This window comes from Homo sapiens, chromosome 16 (genome assembly GCF_000001405.40).
Source record: "Homo sapiens chromosome 16, GRCh38.p14 Primary Assembly".
NCBI lineage: Eukaryota > Metazoa > Chordata > Mammalia > Primates > Hominidae > Homo > Homo sapiens.
In genome coordinates this window covers 10,010,001-10,037,680 of record NC_000016.10, presented here as the reverse complement: position 1 = coordinate 10,037,680, position 27,680 = coordinate 10,010,001, and the positions used below count along the sequence as shown (strand labels likewise).

The 27,680-nt window shown below is 44.3% G+C and overlaps 1 protein-coding gene and 1 long non-coding RNA gene across 8 annotated transcripts in view; one reads left to right on the top strand and one right to left on the bottom strand.

Annotated features, from left to right (window-relative positions):
- GRIN2A (glutamate ionotropic receptor NMDA type subunit 2A) overlaps positions 1–27,680 on the top strand; it is a 429,505-nt gene that overhangs the window by 145,228 nt on the left and 256,597 nt on the right. The gene's annotated exons all lie outside the window — the stretch shown is intronic.
- On the bottom strand, positions 384–6,045 carry LOC105371076 (uncharacterized). Its single transcript, XR_933061.2, has 3 exons — positions 5,990–6,045; positions 3,822–4,022; positions 384–695 (listed from the first exon to the last, which is right to left on the bottom strand). It is a non-coding gene; the product is annotated as an uncharacterized LOC105371076 (long non-coding RNA).

The following is a 27,680-nucleotide window of genomic DNA, read 5'->3' as shown; positions in this document are numbered from 1 at the left end:
GCACACCAGCCTGGGTGACAGTGCAAGACCCTGTCTCTAAAAAATAAAAACCAATAATAAAAGAAATAGGAGTAGAGAAGCTGTCAGATGGAGATGAATGAAGACCCTTGAATATCATGCTAAGGGGTTTAGACTTTATCTTAGGGAAGGGGAAACATTAAAGTGTTTTAAGCAGGTTTTAAGTAACTTAGTCCAATATACTTTTTAGAATGATCACTCTGGATAATGCATGTCGGGTGCGGTGGAGGGTGGCAGGGCTGCACACGGCGGGGAGAGGCTTCAAATGCGGGCTGTTAGTGCATGCAAGCGGAGAAGTGATCACCATGTTTCCACAAAAGAACTTAGAATTGGTTTAGTTAATGCAGTGCAATGGAATGCAGTTATACAACAGGGTCGTTTTTATATTTCAAGAAGAAGAAAGCAATGGGAAGAAAAGCATTAGGGAGATAGAGTTTTGCATGGCTGCCGTGCCCTTTCATTTAAATGACCGACCAGGTCAGCATGTTGCATAAGGACACGGGCAAATTACTTCTGCTAACCGAGGCGGAACTCTCTGGTAGCCCAAATTCCAGTGCTCCATCCATCCAGGGAGGTGTCTATGAGATGACAGGTCATCAAGGCAAATAATGAGTTGTTTGTCTCCACGGCATGGATCCTCCTGGGATCAGAGGTGTCATCTGACAAGGCATCATGGGCTGTATCCCCCACCAAAACAAAATATATGTTGAAGTCCTAACCCTCAGTACCTCAGGATGTGACCTTATTTGGAGAGAGGGTCTTTACAGAGGTAATCAAGTTAAAAGGAGGTCATTAGTGTGAGCCCTAATCTGATAAGACTGGTGTCCTTATAAAAAGGGGAAAATTGGACACAGAAACAGACATGCAGAGAGGAGAGATGGTATGAAGATGCATACAATCTTAAAAAAAATAATACTGGCCAGGCACGGTGGCTCACGCCTGTAGTCCCAGCATTTTGGGAGGCCGAGGTGGGCGGATCACGAGGTCAGGAGATGGAGACCATCCTGGCTAACACAGTGAAACGCCATCTCTACTAAAAATACAAAAAAAAAAAATTAGCCGGGCGTTGTGGCGGGTGCCTGTAGTCCCAGCTACTCCAGAGGATGAGGCAGGAGAATGGCGTTTGCAATGAGCCGAGATTGCGCCACTGCACTCCAGCCTGGGTGACAGAGTGAGAATCCATCTCAAAAAAAAAAAAAAAAAAAAAAAAAAAGAAAAAAAAAAAGTAAGTACTAATATTTTTATTATGGCATAAATAGAACACCATCTATGAGCCAAGGAATGCCTGAGGCTACCAGAAGCTGGAAGAAAGGCATGAAATAGATTGTCCTTCAGAGACTCCAGAGGGAACCACCGACACCTTGATCTTACACTTTCAGCCTCCAGAACTATGAGAGAAAAAAATTATATTGTTCAAGCCACCAAGTTTGCAGTACTTTGCCACAGCAGTTCTAGAGAACTAATGCTAATACCAATCACACAAAGTGATTGAAAAGGGGAGAAGTCCTGGTGAATTTCAGAAAAACCCCTGATCTCAGTTATGCAAGTGAGATCATCAGGGGAATCTGAATCATTCATCGTTTTTACCTGAAAGCAGTAGGCAGAAAGGAAATTAAATTCCATAGAAATCCATTAATCGTGCTGGGCATGGTGGCTTACGCCTGTAATCCCACCACTTTGGGAGGCCCAGGCAGGCGGATCACTTGAGGTCAGGAGTTCGAGACCAGCCTGGCCAACATGGTGAAACCCCGTCTCTGCTAAAAATACAAAAATTAGCCAGGCATGGTGGCAAGCACCTGTAGTCCTAGCTACTGGGAAGGCTGAGGTATGAGAATTGCTTGAACCCAGGAGGCAGAGTTTGCAGTGAGCCAAGATCATACCACTGCACTCCAGCCTGGGTGACAGAGTGAGACCCTATCTCAAAAAAAAAAAAAAAAAAATCGATCATCCAGTGCAGTGGTTCTCAAAGTGTGGTCCCTGGACCAGCAGCATCAGCATCACTTGGGAATGCAGATTCTTGGGCTTCCCCTGAGATCTCCTGGTCGGTGACTCCAGTGGGTGATGCCCATGCACACTCAAGTTTGAAAGCCCCTGGCCTAGGGTCTGTGAGACCCTGGAGAAGTCAGGCAGAGCTTCACAGGGGAGGTGACACATGAGATGTGCCTTGAGGGATAGGTAAGGGCTTTGAAAGGAGCCAGGGAAGGACATTTGAAATGGAGCAGAGGCAGGGAGATATAGATGTGTGAGACTTCTTCAGAGGAGCAGTACAGTTTGGAGGGTATATGGAGAGGAGGGTGAGAGAAAGGAAGTACAGACACATGGTGGGCAGTGAGGATGGGTGGGGAGTGGTGGCTCACATCTGTAATCTCAGCATTTTGAGAGGCCAAGGCAGGAGGATCACTTGAGTCTTGACATTTAAGACCAGAGTGAGCAATATAGCAAGACCCTGTCTCTACAAAAAATACAAAAATTAGCCAGGTGTGGTGACGTGTGCCTGTAGTCCCAGCTACTCAAGAGGTTGAGGCAGGAGGTTCACTGGAGCCCAAGAGTTCAAGGCTGTAGTGAGTTGTGATGGTGCCACTGCACTCCAGCCTGGGTGACAGAACGAGACCCTGTCTCTAAACACGTTAAAAGAAAGTGAAGATGAAGTCAAAGATGTTGTCATGTTGTAAAGGATTTGTGAGCCAGGATGAGTTTATATTTAATGGGGGCCGCTGAAGAGTTTTAGAAAGATTACTGTAGGCTAAAGTATCAATGTGTAATTTGGGTATATGTGTGATATTCAAATTAGCTGACCTATTAGGACTGTCTCAGCCAACAAATCACTGAATGCAGACAGTCAACCATGCTTTCTGAAAATGCAAAGTCCTAGTGGTTCTTGAGATGAGTGGAGGGGTCACACCAATGTCAGGAGAACTCTAGATTTGGGGAATCTTTAAGAAAGCCAAGGACCAGTAAGTCTCCTGAATAGATAGACCAGTTTTCTTCCACCTGGGACTATTAAAGATGAGTGACACCTTTACCTCTTGACCTTAATCATTCATTAGCCAGCAAGTCAACATCCTTCTCAAAGTGTGGCTCCATCAGTTCTGAGCCAGTTTTTTTTTTTTTTTTTTTTTTTTTTTTTGCTTTTTTTTGACGTGGGGTCTCACTCTTATCGTCCAGCCTGGGGTGCAGTGACACGATCTTGGCTCACTGCAACCTCCGCCTCCTGGGTTCAAGCACTTCTCCTGCCTCAGCCTCCCGAGTAGCAGGGACTATAGGCATGTGCTAACATTCCGGCTAATTTTTTGGATTTTTAGTAGAGATAGGGTTTCACCATATTGGCCAAGATGGTCTCGCACTTCTGGTCTCAAGTGATCAGCCTTCCTCAGCCTCCCGAAGTGCTAGGATTACAGGCATGAGCCACCATGCCCGGCCCTGAGCCAGTTTTGCCCCAAGTTGCTAAGCTTCCCTGATCACTGACCAGTCTGAAGGCAGATAAACACAAAGCCTTTGTCTATGGGACACTTATGATTTGGTTGCAGAGAAGGTGGACCTTCACACTGCCAATCTCAGTTCTCACGGCCGCCTGGCATCAGGAAGGCATTAATCTCTGCCAAGGCTCTGTCCTCTTCACCTTTCAGCAGGTGTTCCTTGCTGGTTGTTTGGCCCGGTTGATAGGAAAAAAAGAAGAGAGAGTGGGCCCGTGTGCCTCTGTCTCCTCTTTGCTCAATGACCCAAGAAGGCAGGAGAAGGAAGGCACTTCTCAGCTGCCTTTCCTATGGTTGGCTGCTGGGCTGGGATGGAGCTGGGGAACTTACCTCTTGTGACGAACGATGAAGAAGCAGGGATTTCATGCAGCATCAGCATACGCACAAGGCTGTGTTGGGAAGAACAAGGACAGGGCTCCAGAGAGGACTGACTGCAGCTGCCCCTTTAATGCTGGTCGCACATGCTTGCTTCTCTCTGGCTCCCCTCCCGGACTGCATGGATAGCTTTGTTCACACCTGAATGCCTGGTGCCTGGGTTCCAGAAAGGCATAGCTTTCATTTCTGAGCATTTTATATGTGCCTTGAGATTAACCATCACCATGAACAGATTTGGAAACAGGTTTGGAGGGATTACGAGACTTGCCCAAACACATTTAGCTTGATGGGGAGAAGATCATGGCCCTGTTCTAACCCCTCACTCTCAGTTTTGTTTCATCACATCATCCTGTTTATTTTCATCGTAGCTTGTATCACAATTGCCAATTTTCTTGCTTGTTGTTGTGTTTAGTGTCTGTCTACCCCTCCAGGCTCTGGGTTTCTGATAGCGGCACCTGTGTTTCCTGGGTTTACCTTGGTATCCTGAGTTGGTAACACAGGCCCATCATACAGCCAAAGCTCTACAGTGTTTGTTAACAAAATGAATGAATGAATGATTTGAACCCAGACCTATTTGGCCAAAGCCTCACTCTGTAACCTCTGCTCACTGCAGAGTTCCATGTGGTACAATCTTGCTTGGCAAATGTTGATGGAATTATAACAGTTCACGGTTGGTAGGTGGGGGTGTCAGATACATGCATCTGGGAAAGTCACAGAAATTCACCCCAATATAGGTATAATCACGTGCCCAGGAATGCAGGGCAAACTTTGCCCACAGGTGCAAACCAGCTGGGGCACCTGTGGTATCCTAGGAGCCTGGTGTGCTTAAAAGCATGGTGTAGTCATGGGTTCGAGAAACTCTCCACTGGGTAAGGACACTGGATATATGGACACAAGAAACTCTCCATTGGTTAAGGACAATGATAAGGAAACTCTCCATTGGGTGAGGACACTGAACTCTTTCACATGAGCAGAGACTTATGTTAGGAGTTGCAGCTGGGAGTCAGGCAGAAGCTATGATGAAAGCTCTCTGGGCCTCAGTTTCCCCATTTGTTGTTTGGTGTGTGTTCCACCACTGTTGTTTAATGGCTCAGAGTGGAGACCGGCATTAAACTGTGTTCGTTCAACCCTGAATCCACCACTTTCTAGGGGTGTGCCTACTGGAAAGTTTTCATTTTCCTTGGTGCCTCAGTTCCTCGTCTGTGAAATGGGGATAATGATAGTATTTACCTTTGAAGGTGGGTTGCAAGGGCTGAAAGTTAATTTATATAAAGCACTTGGAACACATGGTAAATGTCTGGCTGTTTTGATGAGAAGATTCAATGAGATACTGACTTTTCATAATGCAAAAGGCGCTAAAAGAAACTCAGCAGAGGTGGCATTTAGATCAAGGTATCTCTGTGGAAGGTATCAAATTAGATGAAAGGCTTAGAGGTGGGTAGACCCACATTTAAAAAAAATCACTTAATTTGTACAGTGTGCGCCAATTGTTGTTTATAAAATATCATCCATTTTATGTCATTGAAGTCTCCCATGTCTCTCTGGCATAGCCATCGTTACCCAAGGCTCAACAAGCTTGAAGTAGCTTGTTTGAAGGTCACAGCTCTTTAGTTATTTGTTCATGGATTTCTTGAAAGCCTACTATATGCTAGGCTCAGCATAAAATGGGGTCCAAAACCAGGTGCTGTTTCTGCTCATGTGAATCTGACAGTCTAGAGAAGGAGGGACATATTTCAAAAAAGTATCATGCAAGTAAATACGATGCGCTGTAATAAGTACTGTGTGACCCACCCAGGAAGGTCAGAGAAGGTTCCCTGAGGACATGGGCTGAAACTGAGATGTGAAGACTAGGGTGGGTGACAGAGGGAAGGGAAAAGCATTGCAGGAAGTGGAAAGAGACTGGGCATAGGCCCTGTGGCCGGAGGGATCATAGCAAATGTCTGGTCTGAAAAAAATTGCCTGAGAAGACCCTGGTGCTTGGAGGGTAAGAGTGAAGGAGGTCAGAGCAGAACCGTGCTGAGACCCTCAGGCCACATTTGGGTGTTGCATCTTTGCTATAAGAGCAGAAAGAAACCACTAAAGATTTTAAAGCCAGGGTGGATGGTGGTGAACATGAGATTTACCTTCCAGAAGCATCCTCTGGTGGCCACGTGGAGAACTGGCTGCAGGGGAGAGGAGTGCAGGCAGTAAGTTACAGTTGCTAAGAAACATTCACCATTCCATGGGTAATTATTGTGCACCACTGTCTACGGGCTCTCTGCTGGGTGCCAGGAACGCAGCACTGACCACGACAAAGCCCCTGCCTTAGAGAGATGACGTTTCTGTATAAGGACAGAGACGGCAAATGGACAAGCAAGTGAATGAATGTGGCAGGAAGCAGTGTGGCTGGGAAGAAATACTTAAAAGCAGGGCGAGAGACTAGAGCATATTGGCTGCCATTTAGGCAGGAAAAACCTCTTGTGCTGACATTTGAAGTGAAGGGACACCCATGTGAGTATCTGGGGGAAGGGCTTTCCAGGGGGCAGCACAGCAATGGCAAAGACCCTGAGGTGGGAACAGGCTCAGGGTATTGGAAGACCATCATAGAAGTCATTGTGGCTGCAGAGAAGGATTAAAAGAGGCAGATTGTAAAGGCCACATTGAGGATTTACGTATTTTATTTAGAGGGTGAGAAGAGGCCATTGGAAGCCAGATCTGGGAAGTGACGTGAACTAAGTGCGATTCCAGCGTAGGCTTCTTCTCTTCTCAAATTCTGGCCCCCACACCACTTTCCCGAGTTCAGATTTCTCCCTGGCCTCATGATAGTAGTATTTTTAACAAGTCAGCAGCCAGTATGGCAGAGCCTACCCCCTAGATGGTGCATGAGACATACCAAAGAAGCTTCACTTTTCACTTTTTTAGGGCAACAAATAATACATCTATTTATTGCTTTTTCCACTAGAATGTGGGCACTTTGACAGCAATTTTGCTCACTGCTGTATCTCTGAAGCCTTAAATAGTATCTGAGATTGTAGCTGTCGATAACTATTTGCTGAGTTAATAGATGATCACCCTGCACTTAAGTTTCTATGTAATGACTCCTGGCCAGAGAGCAGAGATTCAGCAAAGAAGAAGGTAAAAAGAAGGGAAAGATGAGAGAGACCCCTTTATAACTCATCAATGTAAAAAACACAAAATAAAAAGTCTTGAGCTTAAGAGAGAATGCAGTAGAAAACATCAACAAGAAAACCTTTCTGTCTGAAAACGCCTGATCCTTGTGTGAGACCTTTCCAGGATATGTGGGTTTTCAGGTAGCATCTTCACCCCCAGGGCAACAGTAAGTGCAGGCAGGAGACCAAAACCAATACCCTTGCCCTCATCCCCATAGCAGGGGTGAAGTCTGAGCACGTGACTGGACACAGCAGCCACACGCCTTTGGTGTCTTCCAAGGAGGCAGTGTCTCACCTGTGCACATGCTATTCATACAAACACAACATGATCTGGAGCAGAGAAGGGCATAGGAAACTCAGCAGGGGTATATTATATTTTCTGCCAGAACTGACAGTAATATTGAATGATGAGAGAAATGCAGTAATATTGAAGGACGAGAGAAATGAGAGTTGTATAACATTTAATGATTTTTTTTTAAAAAATCACCCAAGAACGTGAAGATGATTTGAAACGCCTCTGAAAATGATCCCTTCCTGTCCATAGGCAGCCCAGCTTGCACATAGCCCGTGCTTGCTTTACACAATCAGTGATAAACTTTGAAGATGCTGCAGCCTCCATTGAGTTTCTTTTTGTATATATATACTTTTATTTATTTATTTATTTTTTTGGAGACAGAGTCTCACTCTGTGGCCCAGGCTAGAGTGCAGTAGTGCAATCTCAGCTCACTGCAACCTCTGCCTCCCGGGTTCAAGCAATTCTCCTGTCTCAGCCTCCTGAGTAGCTGGGATTACAGGCATGCAGCACCACACCTGGCTAATTTTTGTATTTTTAGTAGAGACGGGGTTTTACCATGTTGGCCAGGCTGGTCTCGAACTCCAGACCTCAGGTGATCTACACCCCCTTCGGCCTCCCAAAGTGCTGGGATTACAGGCGTGAGCATTGTGCCAGGTCTGAGTTTCTACTTTAATTGGCTGCCTTACGCAAACCATGAAGAAGCCCCTGCATGAATAAGGCAGGAAACTTTTTAGTCCCAGACTAGGTGAGACATATGCCGTATCCCCAAAATAAATGTTGGGGCATTAACTTTTAATTGCTGCATTATGTTTTACTGTTTACTGTTTTATACAGCATTCTTGTTCTTTTTTTTAAAATACTGTTTTTCTTTTGAGTCTACGTGACTGCAGCCTTTACGCCTCTAATCCCAGCACTTCGGGAGGCCGAGGCGGGAGGATCACCTGACCTAAGGGGTTTGAGGCCAGCCTGACCAACATGGAGAAACCCTCTCTGCTAAAAATACAAAAATTTGCCACGTGTGGGTGGTGCATGCCTGTAATTCCAGCTACTTGGGAGGCTGAGGCAGGAGAATCCCTTGAACCTGGAAGGCGGAGGTTGCGGTGAGCCAAGATTGTGCCATTGCACTCCAGCCTGGGCAACAAGAGCGAAACTCTGTCTGAAAAGAAAAAAAAAAAAGTGTGTGCAATTGGGGTGGGGAGGTATAGTGCTCTTCTTGTAGACTCTCTCTCCCAATTTTCCATAGATAAATGGATTCAGTGGGGACAGAAAGAGGGCCACTCCAGCTCTGGGGAGAAATGAGAGAGTTGGGAAAGTGAGATCCCTCTGCATTTGGTTGTGGATTATTAGGAGACTAAGAAGGAAACCAAAGAGGACTCCCCCTTTCCTATATTACTTGATTAACATTAGCTATAATAACAAATAATTCCTGCAAAATTTTAATGCCTTAGCACAAGATTTGACAAGCTGTGGTTCTCCAGCCCAATTTGGGCCCTTGTTTGTTTTTGTGAATAAAGTTTTATTGGAACACAGCCACACCCATTTGTTTACAGATCATCTAAGGAAGCTTTTATGCTATGATAACAGAGTTGAGCCATTGTGAGAGAGACTGCATGGCCTGCAAAGCTCAAAATATTTACTCTCTAGCTCTTTACAGAAAAGTTTGCTGACCTCTGGCTTAACAATAAAGCTTACTTTTTGCTAACCTGATGGTCCAATGGTGGGTATTCCTGGGGTCAGCAGGCAGCTTCTCTTCATGTGGGGATTTAAGAAGTCAGTCTCCACTATCTTGTGGCTCTGCCATCTTCTAATAACTTAGGATTTTCTGCAAGCAGCCAGAAAATCCAGGAAGCAGGAAGGAGAGAAGAAAGGGTGTCCTATCTCTCCAAAACTCTGGCCCACATCCTGTTGGATGAACGAGTCACATGGCTACACCCAGATGCAGAGGTGCTGGGAAGTGTCCATGGCTGGGCAGCTGCCTCCCAGCGACAGTGCCACACTGTGTAAATGGGAGCACACATTCATTTTGGACCTGTAGCCATCACCACCATGCTCTTTCCCTACTATGCCAGATACCTGCATTTGAATCATGGCTGTGCCACTTACTGACTGTGAAACTTGGGGGAATTTAACAAAACACTCTGTGTGTCCCAGGTTGCTCGTCTTTGAAATGGGCACAATCACAGTTCCTGCCTCATAGAGTTGCTGCAAGCAGTAAGTGACATATTATTTACTGCTCAACACAGACCTGGCGTGGGGCATATGTAGAACATGTGTCACTGATCAAGGATGATGTCGGCATTTTCAGTGACTAGACAAAAACCAGAGGCACTCGGCAACATCCTTCAGAGCACTTTGTAATAAGTCCCCAACCTCCCGCACTGTTCTGTGAGAAGCCAGGTGGATGTAGGAGAGGTTCCCTGGAGAGATTAGTCCAGGCTAAGGCAGTGGGGACAGCTCGAGGGTGGAAAGGGAACTCTGCCCAAAAGACAAGGGTGCTTTTCGGAATGCCTTGGACGAGGGAGGAGAGAGGAGGAGCACGCAGGGCAGAGGAAGCACTTGGTTGGTGGGTGCAGCATCATCTCTGGTTTAGTCCTTTACTGCATCAACATTGCCTTGCTTGTGACGAGTAAGGGTAGGGACAGCTTGTGGATGGGAAGTCGCAGAGGCACCAGGCCAGCCCATGCTGAAAGCTCACCAACTCCAGCACTCACCAGCGAGGACTCCTCATGTCTCACTGGGTTCCCCTTCCATCATCAGAAGCCAAGGATGTTTCCAAAATATTCCATCGATGTCCAGAGCAGCACTGGAAGGTAGTAAGAGCAGGATTTGTCATCTTATTTTGCATATGGCTAGATGGAATCACTGAGAGACACACCAACCTCACTCAGCTAGTAAATGCAGACCCAGGATGGGCAGCCAGGCTCCTATGACGCTGTGGCTGTGGATGTTGCTTCTGAAACAAGGCAGGATGAACGTTCCTTGGAGCACTGGCAGGGGGGGACATTCACTATATTCTAACGTTAATACTTGGGTTGTCTTGATAGCTGAGATGCTAAACTTTGCTGTGAGAGCTTGGAAAAGTCTGTTCTCTCTGAGCCTCAGTTTCCTCATCTGTAATATGGGCAACTCCTTTATAAGATCCCTTACACTTTATGTGGATGCTAGGTGTTGGGGAGGGCTATAAACAACTTATTTTCTCATGTAACAAATGCTACTTGAGCCTTCAATGGGCTGTGCATGCTGGAGATACAGCAGTCAACAAACCTGTCTTCTTTGTGTGAGGAGAGGCCAACAGAAACATAACAAATATTTAATGTGTCAGCTGATAATAAGCACTAGGCAAAAAGTGGATTAGGGAAAGGCAAAAGGAAGCCCTTGGGTGGTGGTGCGATGGGGTTTTGATTTGAAATAGAGCCATCTTCACGGGAGGGTCCACTTGAGAACAGGCAGGTGGAATAGGAGAGAACTTGATCGTTTCTGTGATTGAGAAAGAGAGGGGACTGGAAGTGCAGTTCTTCCTGAGGTTCGTTCACCTGAATCTGAAAGCACCTGATTTCAAGTTCTGCATTGTTTTGGGGTGGGAGGAAGTGAGAGAAAAGCAGACCTGGTTCTTGTTTGGCGTGTTTCTCACTGAGTGGAGCTACTAGGCTTTCCTGGGGCCATTGTTAAGAGCTGCCATGGCCCATGTCTGCTGGTGGTGGTCTTCTTTCCTTGTTCTCTGCAGTGCCCCCCAGCTTGACTGTGCAGTGAATGGAGCAGATCCATGTTCTTCAGTTGACAGAAAGGGAGAGTTAGAGATGAACCTAATGCCCTGCTTAAATCAGAGGGCGAAGTGATATGAAGTTTAAATTTAGGAAGGACTTTCTTTTTTCTCTCTCTAATGGCCTGGAGATATCCTACAGGCTATGCTGGGTACTTTGCATAGACTACCTTCAAGATGCAGAGAAAGGAAATGCATCTAATGCTGTTAGTAACAATAATAAATAATAGCAATAGATTCCCTGTACATGCTGGACAGTGCACCAAGCATTTTATTTTATTTTTCACAATAATACCATGAGGAAGCTACTTTTTATTACTCTTGTTATACAGAGGAGCAAACTGAGGCTTAGGAAGGTGACGTGACTTGCCCCAACTCATCCAATTAGTGAGAACCTAAGTTGGGATTTGAATTTGGCTCTCAATCTCCAAGCAGTCATGTGTCAAAGTGGTTGCCACTGGGTGGGGGATTCTGGAAGTCCTTTCTGTGTCCTCATGCTCTAGATATTTTTTTATTTTTTTCTGTAGTGAGCATACAGAGATTCTATGGCCAGGAGGAAGGTTGGGCTGAGAACAGTGATGATGTAGCCAGACAGTATTGTGTGAGTCAAAGAGGCTGCCTTGAGGTTGGCTCCAGGACCCTGGCTACGAAGCTCGCTGTGCCTGACTTCCTCAAGCCACTTGCCTCCCATTTTTTCTTTAGAGGAAACTTCCACTGCCTCGGATACATAAGGTCATTGCAATCCTGTCTAAAGTCTGGCCTCCAGGGTTTGCAGTAAGATTTCTCTGAAGCAAGGCTGCATCTCTACCCATGAGATTTTGCATCCCCTAGCCTGCCTGTCTCTGCCAGCCGATATAGGGAGGCAGGGGATGGCTCACATCAGTATCCTTGAGTGGACCCCGCTCTGGTGTCTTTATTTTCATCTCTGGGAAAAAGTTATATTTTCCCTGGAGTCAAATGAGGTGGTATTCCAGCCTCCTTGCTTAAATATATCTCAAAGGTTCTGCTGTGTCAGGCATGGTGATTCACGCCTATAATTCCAGCACTTAGGGAGGCCGAGGCAGGAGGATCACTTAAGCCTAGGAGTTCAAGACCAGCCTGGGGAACACAGGGAGACCCTGTCCCTCCAAAAAAAAGAAAAAATAGTCAGATGTGGTGGCATAGGCCTATAGTCCCAGCTACTTGGAAGGCTGAGGCAGGAGGATGCCTGAGCCCAGGAGGTCGAGGCTGCTGTGAGTTGTAATTACACCACTGCACTCCAGCCTGGATGACAAAACAAGACCCCATCTCAAAAAAAAAAAAAAAAAAAAAAAAAAGACCCTGCTGCGTCCCTGATCTGGCAAATTAAAAATATAAAACCTTTCGTTAAACCCCAGAGCCACGAGTTTCCTATAAGCATGATAGTTTTATGATTCAGCTGCACCATTAGTAATCTCCAGTCTTCTTAGCCCCTCCCATCTCTCTGCCACCTCTTTCAATTTTCTTCTTTACTCATTCCTCTCTTCTTTCCTCCTCTCTTTTCCTCTCCATCTCCTCTCATCTCTCGATTCCTCTCTCCATCATCCTCTCTTCCCTCTTCCTCCCTTCCCTCTTCTTTTCTCTCCTCTCTGACTCTTCCATGACTTATCTCCATTTCAACTATGCTTTTTTTAAAAAATTCATTTAAATTTTGGATTATTTTGTGGGAGGCTCTGTTTTGAATTTAGTGCTTATTTTATTTGCTCAAAAAATGAGCAGCCAGCCAACCAAATAGCCATTCTGTGTCTACTTGTGGTCTCTCATGCCATCCAACAGCTCTTACTTGATATAATTGCTAAGCAGTGAGAAAGCTATTGTGCCTACCTCTTCAGTGAGGAGTGAGTGGGAAGTTATGGCTGAACGTGGGCTTTCTCTATGTTGTTTAGGCTTCTCATCTTGACACTACACTAAATCCATGGCTTGAATGGGTCTGCAAAATGAGAGTCTCTAAAAGCCAGACCCATCTTGGCATATCTTGTGATCTCTAAGCGGCAATGGGAGACAGAGAAGACGTGGTAATGACATAGTTTAGCTGAGACTGAAACATAGTTTTGCTTAAAACTGTGCGTGACATTGGCTGGGCACGTTGGCTCACGCCTGTAATTCCAGCACTTTGGGAGGCCAAGACGGGTGGATCATGAGGTTGGGAGTTTGAGACCAGCTTGGCTAACATGGTGAAACCCCATCTCTACTAAAAATAAAATTAGCTGGGTGTGGTGGCACACACCTGTAATCCCAGCTACTCAGGAGGCTGAGGCAGAAGAATTGCTTGACCCAGGAGGTGGAGGCTGCAGTGAGCCAAGATGGTGCCACTGCACTCCAGCCTGGGTGACAGAGCGAGGCTCCGTCTCAAACAAACAAACAAACAAACATGCATACCATTAATGAGACCACTTGTGCATCATTAGTCTGCAATGAGCCAAAAATCCAAATGAACTGGTAGATAGCTGATAGAAGCCTCATGGGCTCGATTTGAGCCCTTGTGTGTCCTAGGGAGAGGTGAATGCCATGGTTCTTAAGAACATGTCTTTGGATTCGAATTCTGGCTCTGAGGACAAGCTATATGACCTCGGATGAGTCATTTAACCTCTCTAAGCCCCAACCTGTTCTTCTGAACAAGAGGCACAATGACAGTTTATGGGGTGGATTAAATGGCATAATGTGTGATGTACCTGGCCTAAGGTTTATGCTTAATAAATATGTGTCATCACTGCAATGTTTTGGGATGTTTTCTCTGTATGTAAAATGGTGCCCATGTCCACCTCCCTGGGCTATTGGGGGATTAACTGAGACACTGCATGACAAAACTCTTTGGAAGTCCAGTGCAAATGAGTGGACTTGTGACCTCTCACATTATTTCTGTTTGTAGGTTCAACTGGCAAGCCAATCATGCTCATTTATAGCGACACGCACTGAAAACTTTTTTCTCACAAGAGGTTATTGAACCAAGATGAGAGGAAATACCAAGGCTCTTTTTGGTGTTTTAATTCCTTCACATCTATTTCTTTCATCACCAGTTAATGAGGACTTAGTACTCACATCAGCAGTAAGAGTAGAAAATGGGCTCATATTGGTGTTCGAATCCTGATGTGTTCTCTTACTGGTTTTAAGATTTGTGCCAGGTTACTAATCAAATCTTAAACCTTAGTTTTCTCACATATAAAGTTGTAATTATAATACCCACTTCGAAGGGTCATTGTAAAAACCACACCTGAATGTACCCACATATATACAGACACAACCACTAAAGAAAATAGATTATGTAATATTTATTCAATGTATTTTACTTGTCTGTTGTTTATAGAGCCCTGCCTCAGTTGGATGAGTTATTTCAGATTTGGAAGTGTCTCGTTCTCTAGCTTGGGAATGCAGCTGAACATTGGGGGCAGCTGTGGCCCTCTTTTTGTTTGTTGCCAACTCGGTCTAAGATCAGCCTGAGTGGACTCAGTCGGAATCTACCATCTCAATACCAGGTGGTTAATTTCTCATTGGTAGAGCCCTCTTTTTACAGGCTTGGGAAGTCTGGCTGATCATCTCGGGTTGTTTAAGCAAGAAAGTTAAGCTATATCCCCCTGATTAGTAGGATTTTCTCCTTTAGATTCCTGTGTTAATCTACAAACTGAGCAGTTTATCCCTGGTAGACATTGGAATACCAGGTGTGGTAGTCATACTGATTATGCATGTGTAGTACTTTCTAGTGGTGCCGTTCTTAGACCACATTTTCAGTTCTTGAGAACAGTGTCATTGTTGGCATTTTTCTCCCAAAGAGCTGGCATAATACTCAAAAGAAACGGGGTCTTATTAAGTGGTTGTTCATTGACTGATAGGAAGAGAACTGTGGGAATATATATTTATGGAAAAACAGTTCCAAGGTATTCATTCACTCATTCAGTCACTAAATACTTATTTATCATCCTCAAAATGTCAACTGTGTGCTAAGTGTTCAGACTGGAGAGAAGAATAAGACCTGCTATGGGGAAGCACTCAGTCTGAGGTGAGGGAAGAGAGGGTGGGAAATAGACTATGGTGCAGCACTGATGTATGTTTTATTTTTGTTTATGAAATGTTGTAGGGATGTAGAGGAAAATGAAACTAGCATCAGTGCTGGACTTTAAAGCGAGGCTAAACCTCCACAGGTGAAGGAGATGGGGAAGACATTCTAGACAGAAGGAAGAGATTTGTAGACATGTCAAGGTGGGACATGGAGGAACAGCAAGATGTTCTGTGTGGCTGGGATGGTACACGTATGTGCGTGCTTGCGTGTGTGCGTGTGTGTGTGAATATGTGCATGCACATATGCATGTGTGTGACTCTGTGCATGCATGTGTATGTGTGTGTAAGGCTGAGCTGGAAATCAAGGCTTGCATTCTATTCTGCTAGGGAGTTTGTATTCACTTATTCAACACATATTTATCAAGCACCTGCTATATGTTGGATGCTGTGGTATTTTGATGTGTGCCTCATAATCACAGTAAAACCTCCACAGGTGAAGGGGATAGGGAAAGACATTCTAGACAGAGGGAAGAGATTTCTAGAGGTGTCAAGGTGGGACATGGAGGAACAGCAAGGTGTTCTGTATGAGGTATTATGAGATAGGTATTATGACCATTACTCTCATTTTACTAATGAGAAAACTGAGGCTCAGAGAGGTGAAGCGACTTGCCCAAGGTAACACAGCATGATGATCCCCATCACTGGGGGCAGAGAGTCCACTGAGAAGAGAAGTTAGGCAGATGGGGCAGAATGCAGCCTAAGGTCACTCAGAGTGTCCTGAACGGGCTTGATGGACATTGACTTTGGCAGCCTCCTCATTTGCTCCAGCCCCACTGACCCTGTCTCCCCTGACAGGGGAGACAACCCCAAGGTCTCCCCTGCTTTGGGGCATTTGCATATGCTTTTCTTTCCACCTGGAATGCTCTTCCCCTCATTCCCTCCCTTGGCTGGCTATTTCTCATCATTATGCATCATCTCCTGAGAAAGGGCTTGCTTCCGCTCCTGTCAATCCCCTCCTGCCTATCTTTGCTGTCAATGTGGATTTCAGCTTCCTTTTTTATTTCCTTTTTCAAAGTCTACCATTGGTAACTGGGGGAATGTATCACAGTTCACTGAGTGGCGAAGAGCTTGGAGTCTGCGGTAGACTGCTGAGGTGAGAATTCTGGCTCCAACACTTACCAGCTGCTGGGATATTGGGCAAGCCCTTCACCTTTCTGGGCGTCATTTTCCTCTGCTATAAAATGGGAACAATAGTAGATTCCCCTCACAGGGCCATCCAGGAGGGATTCCAGGAGGGCAGAGTCTGACACAACATAGATGTTCAATAAATATGTGTTGAATAGAGCCGTCATTGACCAGTCCATTCATTCACTACCTAGGTCTCATGGCTGCCTTAGAGCTGGGAAGGTACAGGCTGCTTAGGGGACCCAGCTGTGGTCTTCCCTCTCCCACCCACCCAGTGACTGCTCTCCAAAGGCTGTGGGCTTGCTTCTGGGGATTCTGCCAGTCACCTGCCCCCTGAAAGGACTTCTGCTGAATTGCAGCCAATTAGGGCTGATTAGATGTTAATGAGTCTGAAGCTGCTTGGTAAGCGGTTTAGCACAAACTTGGAGGTGAGAGGGAGAAGTTTGGGGAAGTGGTGACATCATGCACAGGCTGGAGAAGTGCAAGGGCCTGACCAAGACGTACAGCATCTCAGTTGTCTGTCCAGACTGTCCTGTGGCTCTTTATGTTGGAGCTGGTACAGGTAGGACCCCTGCTAAACCTGGCAGGGGAGTAGCAATGATAATAATGATGATCATAATTATAGTAAAATAATGCTTTTTATTGAGCTCTTAACATGGGCCAAGCACTATGCTTGGTGCTTTATATGTACTTACTTTTATCTTGTCCTTACAACATCATAGGTGGCACCATGATTATTTATCCTCATTTTGCAGCTGAGAATCAGAACAATTAACCTTGTATCGTATAGCTAGTATGACTCTCTTGAATCCAGAGTTCATGTTCTCCTTAGTTTTTCAGAAACTCAATGTGGAAAATTCTAATTCTATATTTATTGCACACACAGCTGCAGCCTGCTGCACTAAACTCCCACCTCGTATTGAAATAATAACGTGCAGAACTCCCTTTTATATTTATTGATCATCTACATTGTGAAAGGTGGTTTTTTATGCAATTGACTTCTGAACATCTTGGAAAAATAATGGAAAAATAATGTAGGTTAGGTATGAGAATTCCCATTCTCCAGATGAAGAAACTGAGCCCAAAGAGTTTCAATGAGCCTCTCAAGTAGCTGGGACTACAGGCACCTGCCCCACGCCCCATGCCCTGCTAATTTTGTATTTTTAGTAGAGATGGGGTTTTACCAGGTTGGCCAGGCTGGTCTTGAACTCCTGACCTCGTCATCCACCCATCTCAGCCTCCCAAAGTGCTGGGATTACAGGCGTGAGCCACTGCACCTGGCCCATCTTTTCATTTCTTTGGTATACTGTTTTTTTCCTTCCAGCTTTATTGAGGTTTAACTGACAAATAAAGTGGTTTGTATTCAAGGTGTACAATGTGATGTTTTGATGAGTGTGTAGACTGTGAAATGATCACCACCATCGAATTAATTAACACATCTTTCACGACTGTTGGTTACCATTTTGGGTGTCTGTGTATGTGGTGTGAGTATAATTAAGATCTAATCGCTTCACAAATTTCAAGTGTATAATATGATATTACTAACTGTAGTCACCATCCTCAGAACTTATTCATTCACCTTATAATGGAGAGTTGGTACCCTTTGGTCAACATATCTACATTATGGCCATTTCTAAGTCAGCCAGGAAGTCAGTGTAAGATGAATCCAGGATCACTCCTTCTGACTCCGGTAGTCCTGAACCCTCGCTGAGCTGACACAGACCTGGCTGCAATCTTAGAAGAAAGCATTTGCCAAACAAATGAGTAGTAAAGAGGCATTGGGGGTACCCGGCAGGGTTGATTTAATCTACTTGAGGGCATACCGTTTTCTAGCCTTGGGTAGATAAATTGTTTATGTACAAGGAATGCTGCTAACTAGAAATGTGTTTTATCTTGTCATTAAAATGGGTCCACAAATTTCTGCTTAGAAATACAATTTTAGCTTCCCTCTTTGAAATGCTTACAGATTAAACATTTCCTCCTTGCTATCCTTGTGACAATATCTTCCATTTATTGTGCCTCTGCTGTATGCCAGACTGTGATAGATGCTTTCCATGCATAATCTAATTCTAATTTTTACAACTTAATAATAGTGATAATTATAAAACAATGATAAACAGTAGCTTTCATGTATCAAATGCTTGTCACATGCCAGACACTGTGTCAAATGTTTATATCTTATTTTATCCTTATACTCGCCACACATGAAGGTACTGTTAGTGTCCTTATTTTACTAATGAAGTGTTAGCAGTGAGGTGACTTCCCTCTTTTTATTAATGGGGCAACTGAGGCACAGATCCTGCAATTTGCTCAAGGTCACAAACTTACGTTGGGATTCAGTTTTTTTTTTTTTTGGAGATCAACACTTCCTTGGACTTATTGGGAAATGGATGATCATTGTTAAAAACACGTTTTCCAAAAAAAATATTTTTTCTTGAGGTTTGGGGGAACTTGGGAGAAAAAGTGGGGTCTGAGCTGCTGGCATGGTCCAAAGTCACTGAAGGCAGGCCACAGCCAGTGCTCAGATTGGGAAGGTGGAGCTGTAACTCTGGGGCATTCTTGCTTATGACAATGAGGATTTCCAAGGTGTCTGCAACTCAGAGATTCTGGGACCTAGAGAATCAGAGCAACCTCGGGTTGGGAGATGAGTTTTCTTTCCTGCTCATCTTCATGGTGAAAGCGGAGCTGGGGTGCACGGTGTGTGGGGAGTGACTGGCAGTGCAGGCATGCCCAGCTGTGAGTGCCGTGGCACCAGGACAATCACCTCCCTGGATAGAGTTTCCCTCGTGCAGCATCAGCAATAGGTGGACCAGAGGTTCACCCCTCTCTCAGCAGAAGTATCATTAGTGTTGACAGCGTGAAATAGCCTCTAGGGTTCTCTCAGCCATCTATAAGAAGGTCAGGCTAGAATTGAGCTGAGAGCCACACCCCCTTAGCACGCAGCTGCTGGACTCCCCTTTCACGTTTTGGTGAACTCTTCTCCAGGGGCTTCTGTCACATCAACTGCAGTGGTATTGCTGCCTCCAGTTTGTGTCTTCTGGTGCTAGCACAGAAACCCCACCTTCTTCTCTTATGTTTCTGGAAAACACCAGCCTCCTCTTACCTTACTGAGATCAGAATTCTTATAACACCCACCACTGTTTCATCTTAGGGTCCTTTTTCACATACAGTCTTATGGTTTTCTATTTGAAATGGCCCACGTGCATCTGCTTTGCCTCCTAAACGAAGCTAAATGTCTTCTGATCACGTCTCCTTTTAATAACTCATCTCTTTAAAAAAGTCATATCATTTGATTCTTCTAAATGTAAAAGTAACTACTCTCATCGTAGAAAATTGGAAAGCCACGTATCAGGGCCAGGACAAGGAAGAAGAGATTAAGAATCCCTCCTTGGATGCAAAATTTAAAAGGGTGCCAAACAATTAAGTTATCAAGGTAAATACCATTTCAGTGCAATATTTTAGAGAATAGAAATTAATGCCAAGAATTCCATGATTAACATAATAATAGAGGATCCAGCAGGGCTGAGACTAAGGTTGGGCAAGTACAGTCGGATCTTGTCTTTATTTAAATTTTGATTTGTTTTGCATCATTTTTTTTGCATTGGTTTTTATTTGTAAAAATATCATATTAAAATATTACTTATCTTGACTGATGAGTCATTTATCACCCTCTTAAATGTTGCACCCAAAGGAAGTGCTTCATTGGCCTTGCTGTACTTGCAGTCCTGGTTATGATGACCAATGTATACTGAGTACTCACAGTGTCTCAGGCTCATTCTTATGCTTTTCTTATGTTATGCTTGTTCTTTTGTACAACCCCCACAACAACTCACAATAGCTGGGAACTGTTACTGTTCATATTTCTCAGAGCACTTAGAGACCCTCAGAGAGTAGTGACTTGCAATTAACATAGCTCGAAATAAGCCGAACAAACCAAGATGCAACCAAGGCTGTTTGGCTCTAGAACATGCACTCAGTCTACTGTAACCTGTGCAGAAATGATTTCCCCTCCTGCCTTCTTTCATGATCCCCAGCCCCCAGGTAGTCTTCTCTGACTGCCGCCCCACCAAGACTCATCAAGTGCCCTATCATGCTGCCATTGTAGCACTTAACAACGTGTAATGATTATCTATTAATCGTGTAATGATTATCTTAATGTGTAATGATTATCTGTTTCTTTGTCTGTATTCCTCATAAGGTTCCTTTTAAAAAAATGGCAGTGTCTCTATGTTCCTATGGTGTTTTTGTGGTCAGAAGATGAGGGGCTTGTAGGCCATTTCACTTGGGGCTTGATCACCTGCTCATTGTCGGCTCTGGACTCAAACTCATTTGCCCCAGTAGCAGCATGCTCTTCAGAGGACAGAAAGAGGCCCATAGGCTCTGATCCCTTAGTTGGTAAACAATCATTTCTCTAGATCTGTGTTCATCCATCATGGCCCATTAAGCAGCAGTGGCCTGGGGCCATTTTCCAGTGTGACTGATGATATTTGAAGATTTGGCAGAGGAGGTGTAGGAGGCTTGTCTTCTGTGCCAGCTCCATCCTGCTGCTCATGTGAGTGATGATAGTGGGGTTGGGGTGGCTCTGGTCTGCACTGATTGGAAGTATGAGGGGTAGTGGGATGGTGCCCTTGTGCGAGTCCAGGCCGGGAGGCCCAGAGAGCAGGTAAGAGAGATGTGAGCTCACTTTGCCCTAATGTGGAGAAGCAGTGCATGAATAATCACCCAGTGGGGGAGAGAAACTATTGCAAAAACACAACTACAATAAATTCTTCGTCTCTCCGTTGTTATCCATTTATCCTATGGACAATTACTAGGCACCCACCAGGTGTGGGATGCTATGCCAGATAGGAGGCACAGGGCTCCCTGCCCTCACAAAGCTCATGATTTAATGCTACCCTTTGCATTGTCCACTGAGATGGGTCTGTGGTTGGCAAGAGGCTGCAGCCCCTTAGCAATACTAGATGCAGTGAATCTGTGGGGCAATAGTCCTTCTTTTCTTTCCCATGCATGTGTGGAAATCCAGTGTGTATGAAGTGGAGATCTGACCCCATCTTGTTTGAGCTGTGTGCTGATTGTTGGATGGGGTGACAGATGAAACATGTACCATGAGAAGTCCACAGGCTACATGGGAAACCAAACAACGCTCAGGTATCCAAAGTGTCTTTCCTGACTGTCCCCCACTCCACTGCACCATTGCAGGCTGAATTAGGGGGCCTCTTCTCTGCGCCTCTTACATTACCCTGGGTTTCCCGTGCTCAGGCCATGCCTACCACTTTTTTTTTTTTTTTTTTTTTTTTTGAGATGGAGTTTCACTCTTGTCACCCAGGCTGGAGTGCAATGGCATGATCTTGGCTCACTGCAACCTCCACCTCCTGGGTTCAAGCAATTCTCCTGTCTCAGCCTCCTGAGTAGCTGAGATTACAGGCACTTGCCATCACACCCAACCAATTTTTGTATTTTTAGTAGAGACGGGGTTTTATCATGTTGGCCAGGCTGACCTCAGGTGATCCTCCCACCTCGACCTCCCAAAGAGCTGGGATTACAGTGTGAGCCACTATGCCCAGCTACCCTACCACATGGTTTAATGAGGTTCTGTGTGGCTGTCCATTTCCCACACTGATGGTGAATTGCCTCATTGCAGGGGCTGAGTTGTTGCACCTCCCTGTCCCCTGCAGTTGCCATCACCTCGTAAATAGTATGTTCCCAATAAATGTTTGCTGGGGGAATGCAGCCAATGGGTGATGAAGCAGGTGAAAATGCTTAGAAGAAAGCTTACACTGCAATGTTATATACATGCAAATGAATCTAGTGCAAACTGCCTATCTTGCAAAATGATTTTCCAAATGTAAGTATGTTCAGAAATTTAAAGCGCATTCGGAATCAGGGAGTCTTTTTTTGAAAAAAATATTTTTGTTATTATTTTGCCTGAGTGAACTAGTTGTTGTGTCACTGAGTTAAAATAAGTCACCTGGAAGTAGGTCTCCAAAGGTAGGCCACAGGTCTCTGTACTTAGATCTGTTTTATAGACATTGTGGATCTTTCAAGTCTTTTTCTTCCTCTCTATTCTTTCCTCCTACCCTTAGTAAGATTCTAGTTATTTCTTTTTTTTCTTTTCCTTTCCTTTCTTTTTCTTTTTTTTTTTCTTTTTTTTTTTTTTTTTTTGAGATGAAGTCTTGCTCTGTTGCCCAGGCTGGAGTGCGGTGGTGCGATCTCAGCTCACTGCGACCTCCGCCTCCCGGTTCAAGTGATTCTTCTGCCTCAGCCTCCCGAGTAGCTGGGATTATAGGCATGTGCCACCATGCCCAGCTAATTTTTGTACTTTTAGTAGAGATGAGATTTCACTATGTTGGCCAGGCTGGTCCCGAACTCCTGATCTCAGGTAATCTGCCCACCTTGGCCTCCCAAAGTGCTGGGATTACAGGCATGAGCCACCACACCTGTCCAGTTATTTCTTATTTAAATGATTATAACAACCTTCTAATGTCCTCCTGCTTTTCTATTCACTCATCCTCCTGTAGATGCTAAATTTTTTTTTCTGAAATATAAATGTCATGTTCCTATTAATAACCCATTACTTGTTGATAAAGTCCATATTGCTTAACTCACTGCATAAGTCTCTTTGTTCATGGCCTTCTAGGCTTGTCTCTCTCCACTCTGACCTATGTTTAAATGACTTAAAACGGTTGTCACTTCTTGAGACACCCTCATTTCTTGGTAATGAGTTTCCCTTTGTCTGGGACTCCTGTGCCATCCTCATCTCGTTAACTCCTACTTACACCACAGAACCCAACTTTCTTTATAATGGCATTCAACACTTGGTTTCAGAGTGGTCCATTTATGCCTCTGTCTGTCCTGCTAGACTGAGTAATCTAAGGGTGGGGCTCATGCTTTGTTTACCTATTTATCTTCAGCTACCCTCTGAGCCTGGCTCATAGTAGCCACTCAAGACATGTTTGTAGAATGAATGAAGACCCGAGTTTTCTAAGAAATGTGTACATTTATAAGGCCAGGAGAAAAGAACATATAGTGGCCAATGAAATCAAGCTTCAAATATGGTTTACTAAACTAGAATGCAGGGTAAAGTTGTCAAGGTATCCTTTAAGAGACATACATACTGGTCTTGCATTTAGGTTATAAAATTTATTCTACAAGTGCCAGGTTGAGAAGGGGAAGGTATCCAGCCATATGAAAATGACCAAAAACTGGAGTTTTCATTTGTTCTGATAATAAAGCAGAATATTGACAAGTCAGACTCCCCTACACATTCACTCACAACTCACCACCTACCCATTTATTAGCTGGGCTAGGCTATACAGGCTTGCACTCTGCTCTCACAGAGCTTATCAATCTAGACGGGGACACAGGCATCAAATAACGAAGTCACAGTAACTGTGTGTAATTACAGACAGAGCTGAATGTTCTAAAGGAAAATATCATTCAACAGAGGAGCTTGACCCAGACTGGTAGCTGGTCTGAGACGGCTTCGTTGAGGAAGTGACGCTTGAGCAAGAGATTACAGGCATGAGTAGAAGCTGAATCAATAGCTGGATTTCTAGGAAGAGGAAGGAGGCCAGAGAGAGAGGTGTGGGTCAAACCACTTTAAGCAATTTTTCTCTTCACCAAAGAAAATCTCTTTGCCTGGAAAAAGATTGAATAATTTTAAGGAGAGTTTAGATGATTTGTAGTTAAAAAGAAACACTTCAGTGGTCATGGTTTCGCTGTCCTTGCTCCTGACCCAGGAGGATGCTGGTTGGTACCAATCTTTGCGTTTTAGAAGGGTCAGACAGAATGAGCACAGAGAGAAGAGCTATGATTCCAGGAAGGTCTCAGGAAGAAAGGCAGAGGGCATGAGAGAGCAGTCTTCAAACATACGAAGGGCTGTCCTGTGGAGGAGAAACAAGAGCCACTAGTTACTGTCCCGCAGGGAAGAGTAGGACCTGTGGGCAAAAGCTATAAGGGAGAGAGAAATTAGCTGTGCTTGAGAGCAGACCCTTTGAAATATTAAAGCTCTCACTTATTGGGATGATGATTAGGAAGGCAGTCAGCTGCCATCATGTGGATGCTTAAGGCTGGATGGCCATTCTTCAGGATAAAGCAAGGGGAAGGCTTTCGTGGGAGAGGAACAGAGGAAAAAGGGCAGCCTATGGGCTGAATCCAGCCCATAGATACACCCTGGACCTCAGAGGCTGTAAAAATCCAATGAGTATTCACGAAAATATCTAGGGATGGATCTCTTTTTAAAATCCAGATTTTTGAAACTTTTATTTTAGGTTTGGGGGTACATGCGAAGGTTTGTTACATAGGTAAACACGTGTCACTGGGGTTTGTTGTACAGATTATTTCCTCTCCCAGGTATTAATCTCAGTACTCAAAAGTTATCTTTTCTGCTCCTCTACCGCCTCCCACCCAAGAACTGGTAAATTGGGCCAGCTTTCTAGAACTGCAACAATTGTTTGCAGTTGATACATGGTGTATTAGTTGCCTATTGCTGAAATAAATTACCGCAAACTTACTGGCTTAAAATAATACAAATTTATTATCCTACAGTTCTGCAGGTCAGAAAGCTGAAATGGGTCTCATGGAGCTAAAATCAAGGTGTTAGTAGGGCTGAACTCTTTCTGGAGGCTCTAGGGGAAGAAGCTGCTTTTTCCTTGCCTGATTTCCTTGGCTCAAGGCCCCTTCCTCATCTTCCAAGGCAGCACCAGGGCATCTTCAAATATCTTTCTCAGACTCTACTTTCAAATGTCCTTTCTCCCCATCTCAAGATCTTTACCTTAATCACATCTGCAAAGTCCCTTTTGCCATGTAAGGTAACATATTCACAGGTTCCAGGGATTAGGACATGGACACCTTTGGGGGCCATTGTTCTGCCTGTCCCACATGGCCACCCTTTTAGAATCGATTGAACAAGGTTTACATTATTTTCTTTACCTGCTTCTCCATGCTAGATGTTGCATTTGTGATTCTTGAGTTAAAGGGCTGGTCTGGATAACCATTTTTCCTGTGGTTATCCTATAATTAGAAATGAAATTTAGCATATGAGGGTTAAATGCATTAATACAACCCTTTGAGGGGCTGGAGATCAGGTATAAAAGGTGTGAGAAGGAACTTTAAGTTCTTTAAAAGTGATGCTTTTATTGTTTGCAGGATGTCACATAATCAGTTCAATTCAACATTGAATCTGTGCTCTGTTCTGTACAGGATTAAAGAATATGTAAGACAAAGCATAACACATTAAAAACTTTTTCCATTTCGCTCCCACTCAAGAAAACATTTCAGATTGTAAATGAGTAAGAATGATGTTATTATAGAAATGACCTTGAATGTGCTGTAGCTTACAAAAAAAGCCAAAATCATTTCCAAGTATCACTGATTGGACTGGGATCCTAACTAATTAGTGCATCACACCTCACAGCTGCTCATGATCCATTAGTTTTGAGGACCTCTTATCTATGCTATGGTCTCCAGCCTCCAGAAAAGCTTTTGTCTGTCTGCAGAGACAAGAGTTATAGGGTGAAACTATGAGCAGCTTGGTGTAGCATGTGATTAAGTACTTACATGTGTGGTACAGACACTAGGTGCTCAGGGGTTTGGACAGGCATCATGGTGAACCAGCCCTGAACGATGCTTGGTGAACGTCATCCCGCCACAAAGCAGATTCCCACTTTCTGATTCTGCAGTAGGGCAGCAGGTAGATGAAACCAACACTGGGTAACTTAGATTAAAAAAAAATAATTAATTAGCATGTTTCAAGGGTGCTCTGCAAAAAGCGTGCATCTGCAATGAATAAGGAGAGCCTCTCTAGGGATCCATGAAGGAGGATCTGACAGGCAGTTACTTCAGCACACAGCAGTCAGTGAATCGGCCCTGACCTTGTGTTTTTCCTCCTGTGTTGGAAATGTTTGGAGAATGAGTGGTTGATTTGGGTCCCGCCTTGGCCCTGGGAGAGTAGACACGTAGACTGATGGACCCACCAAGGCAAAAGGAAATAGAATATTGCTACTTACAGAAGAATGGTTGGATGCTGATGTCAGTTGTAACTTTTTACTTGCAATGTCTTAAGAGTCACAACTCAGGCAATCCCACAGGTACCTTAGCACCTTACTAAATATTCAGGGGTGAACTTGTCTCCACTTATCTCCAAATCTAGAATTCTTTCTAATGTAAACACCTGGGAAGATAATCTTAGCATTAAAAACTTAGTTTAACATACATCTGTAATTACTGATAAGAGCCATCTTCAAAATGCAGGCACAACTATTACCGTGTAATTTCAAACTGATTCATAAATAAGAAAGAGTGGGGAAGGTAGATAAGTATTCTTCCCAGTTGTTTGTGGGGTTACTGATGCTAAAGAAGAGTCTGGCATTGGTGGCTGGGAACTTTGGATGTCACCATGAAAAGTTGGACTGGGATATAGAACAAATGTTACAGGAATAACCCAGCAAGCCTGAACGTTTAGCACATGGGGACACCATGTTCCACAACTTCAGGTGAAGGGTGGGGTGGAGGACTATGCTCACAGGATATAATATGATTGCTGCCCCCTGGAGTTGTGCAGCATAGCAGTCCTGGTGAAGAGACCAGTGCAGTATAAATACATGGCCTCCCTGGAGAGACAAGGTAAGAATTCTGGAGGAGCAAGGGGAGATATTCCTTTTTCAGCACGTACCTGGGGGTGGAGGCATGAACCTTCAGTAGCCTCTCCTCTCCTCCTCTCTGAGCTGAGTCCTAGTCATCACTTGTTAATGCTGCAAATCCATAGTATTCACAGTGCAATAATAACGGTGGGAAGCATTTATGAACCTATGAAGTACCTATAAAGTACTATGAAGTATATTAAACAGTTCCTATACATGATCTTATTTAATTTTACAACATTTTTACAGGTAGGTACTATTGCTAATGCTCTCCAGGTTCCAAATGTTATCCTTTTAAAACTTTTATATTAAGTTCGAGGGTTCATGTGCAAGTTTGTTATACAGGTAAACTGATATCCCAAGGGTTTGTAGTAAAGATTATTTCAGCGCCCAGGTATTAAGCCTAGTACCCATTAGTTATTTTTCCTGTCTGTGGAATAAGGTTCTCTTGAAAACTCTGGAGGACTAAGAAAAATAAGGCTGTGGAAACTCACCTAGGTGAGGATTCTTCTTGTATTAGTGTACAAAGTAAAAGCTAGATATATGTGCTGAAATGAACAGCTTGATAATAATAAAATAAGGAAAGAACCAGGTAGGCCTTGCTGTTCTCTACCCTTATCAGAAAGGAGAAAGGAACTGAGATGTTCATCTATGTGCCTGAGGGCACAGTACTAGGGAGTAGAAAGCAGGAATTCAAACAGAATTCACAGTCGTGCTTGTTTCTTTGGGCCTTGCTCCTCACTCGTAGAGTAGAGGGGACTGTGCTTTGGTCTG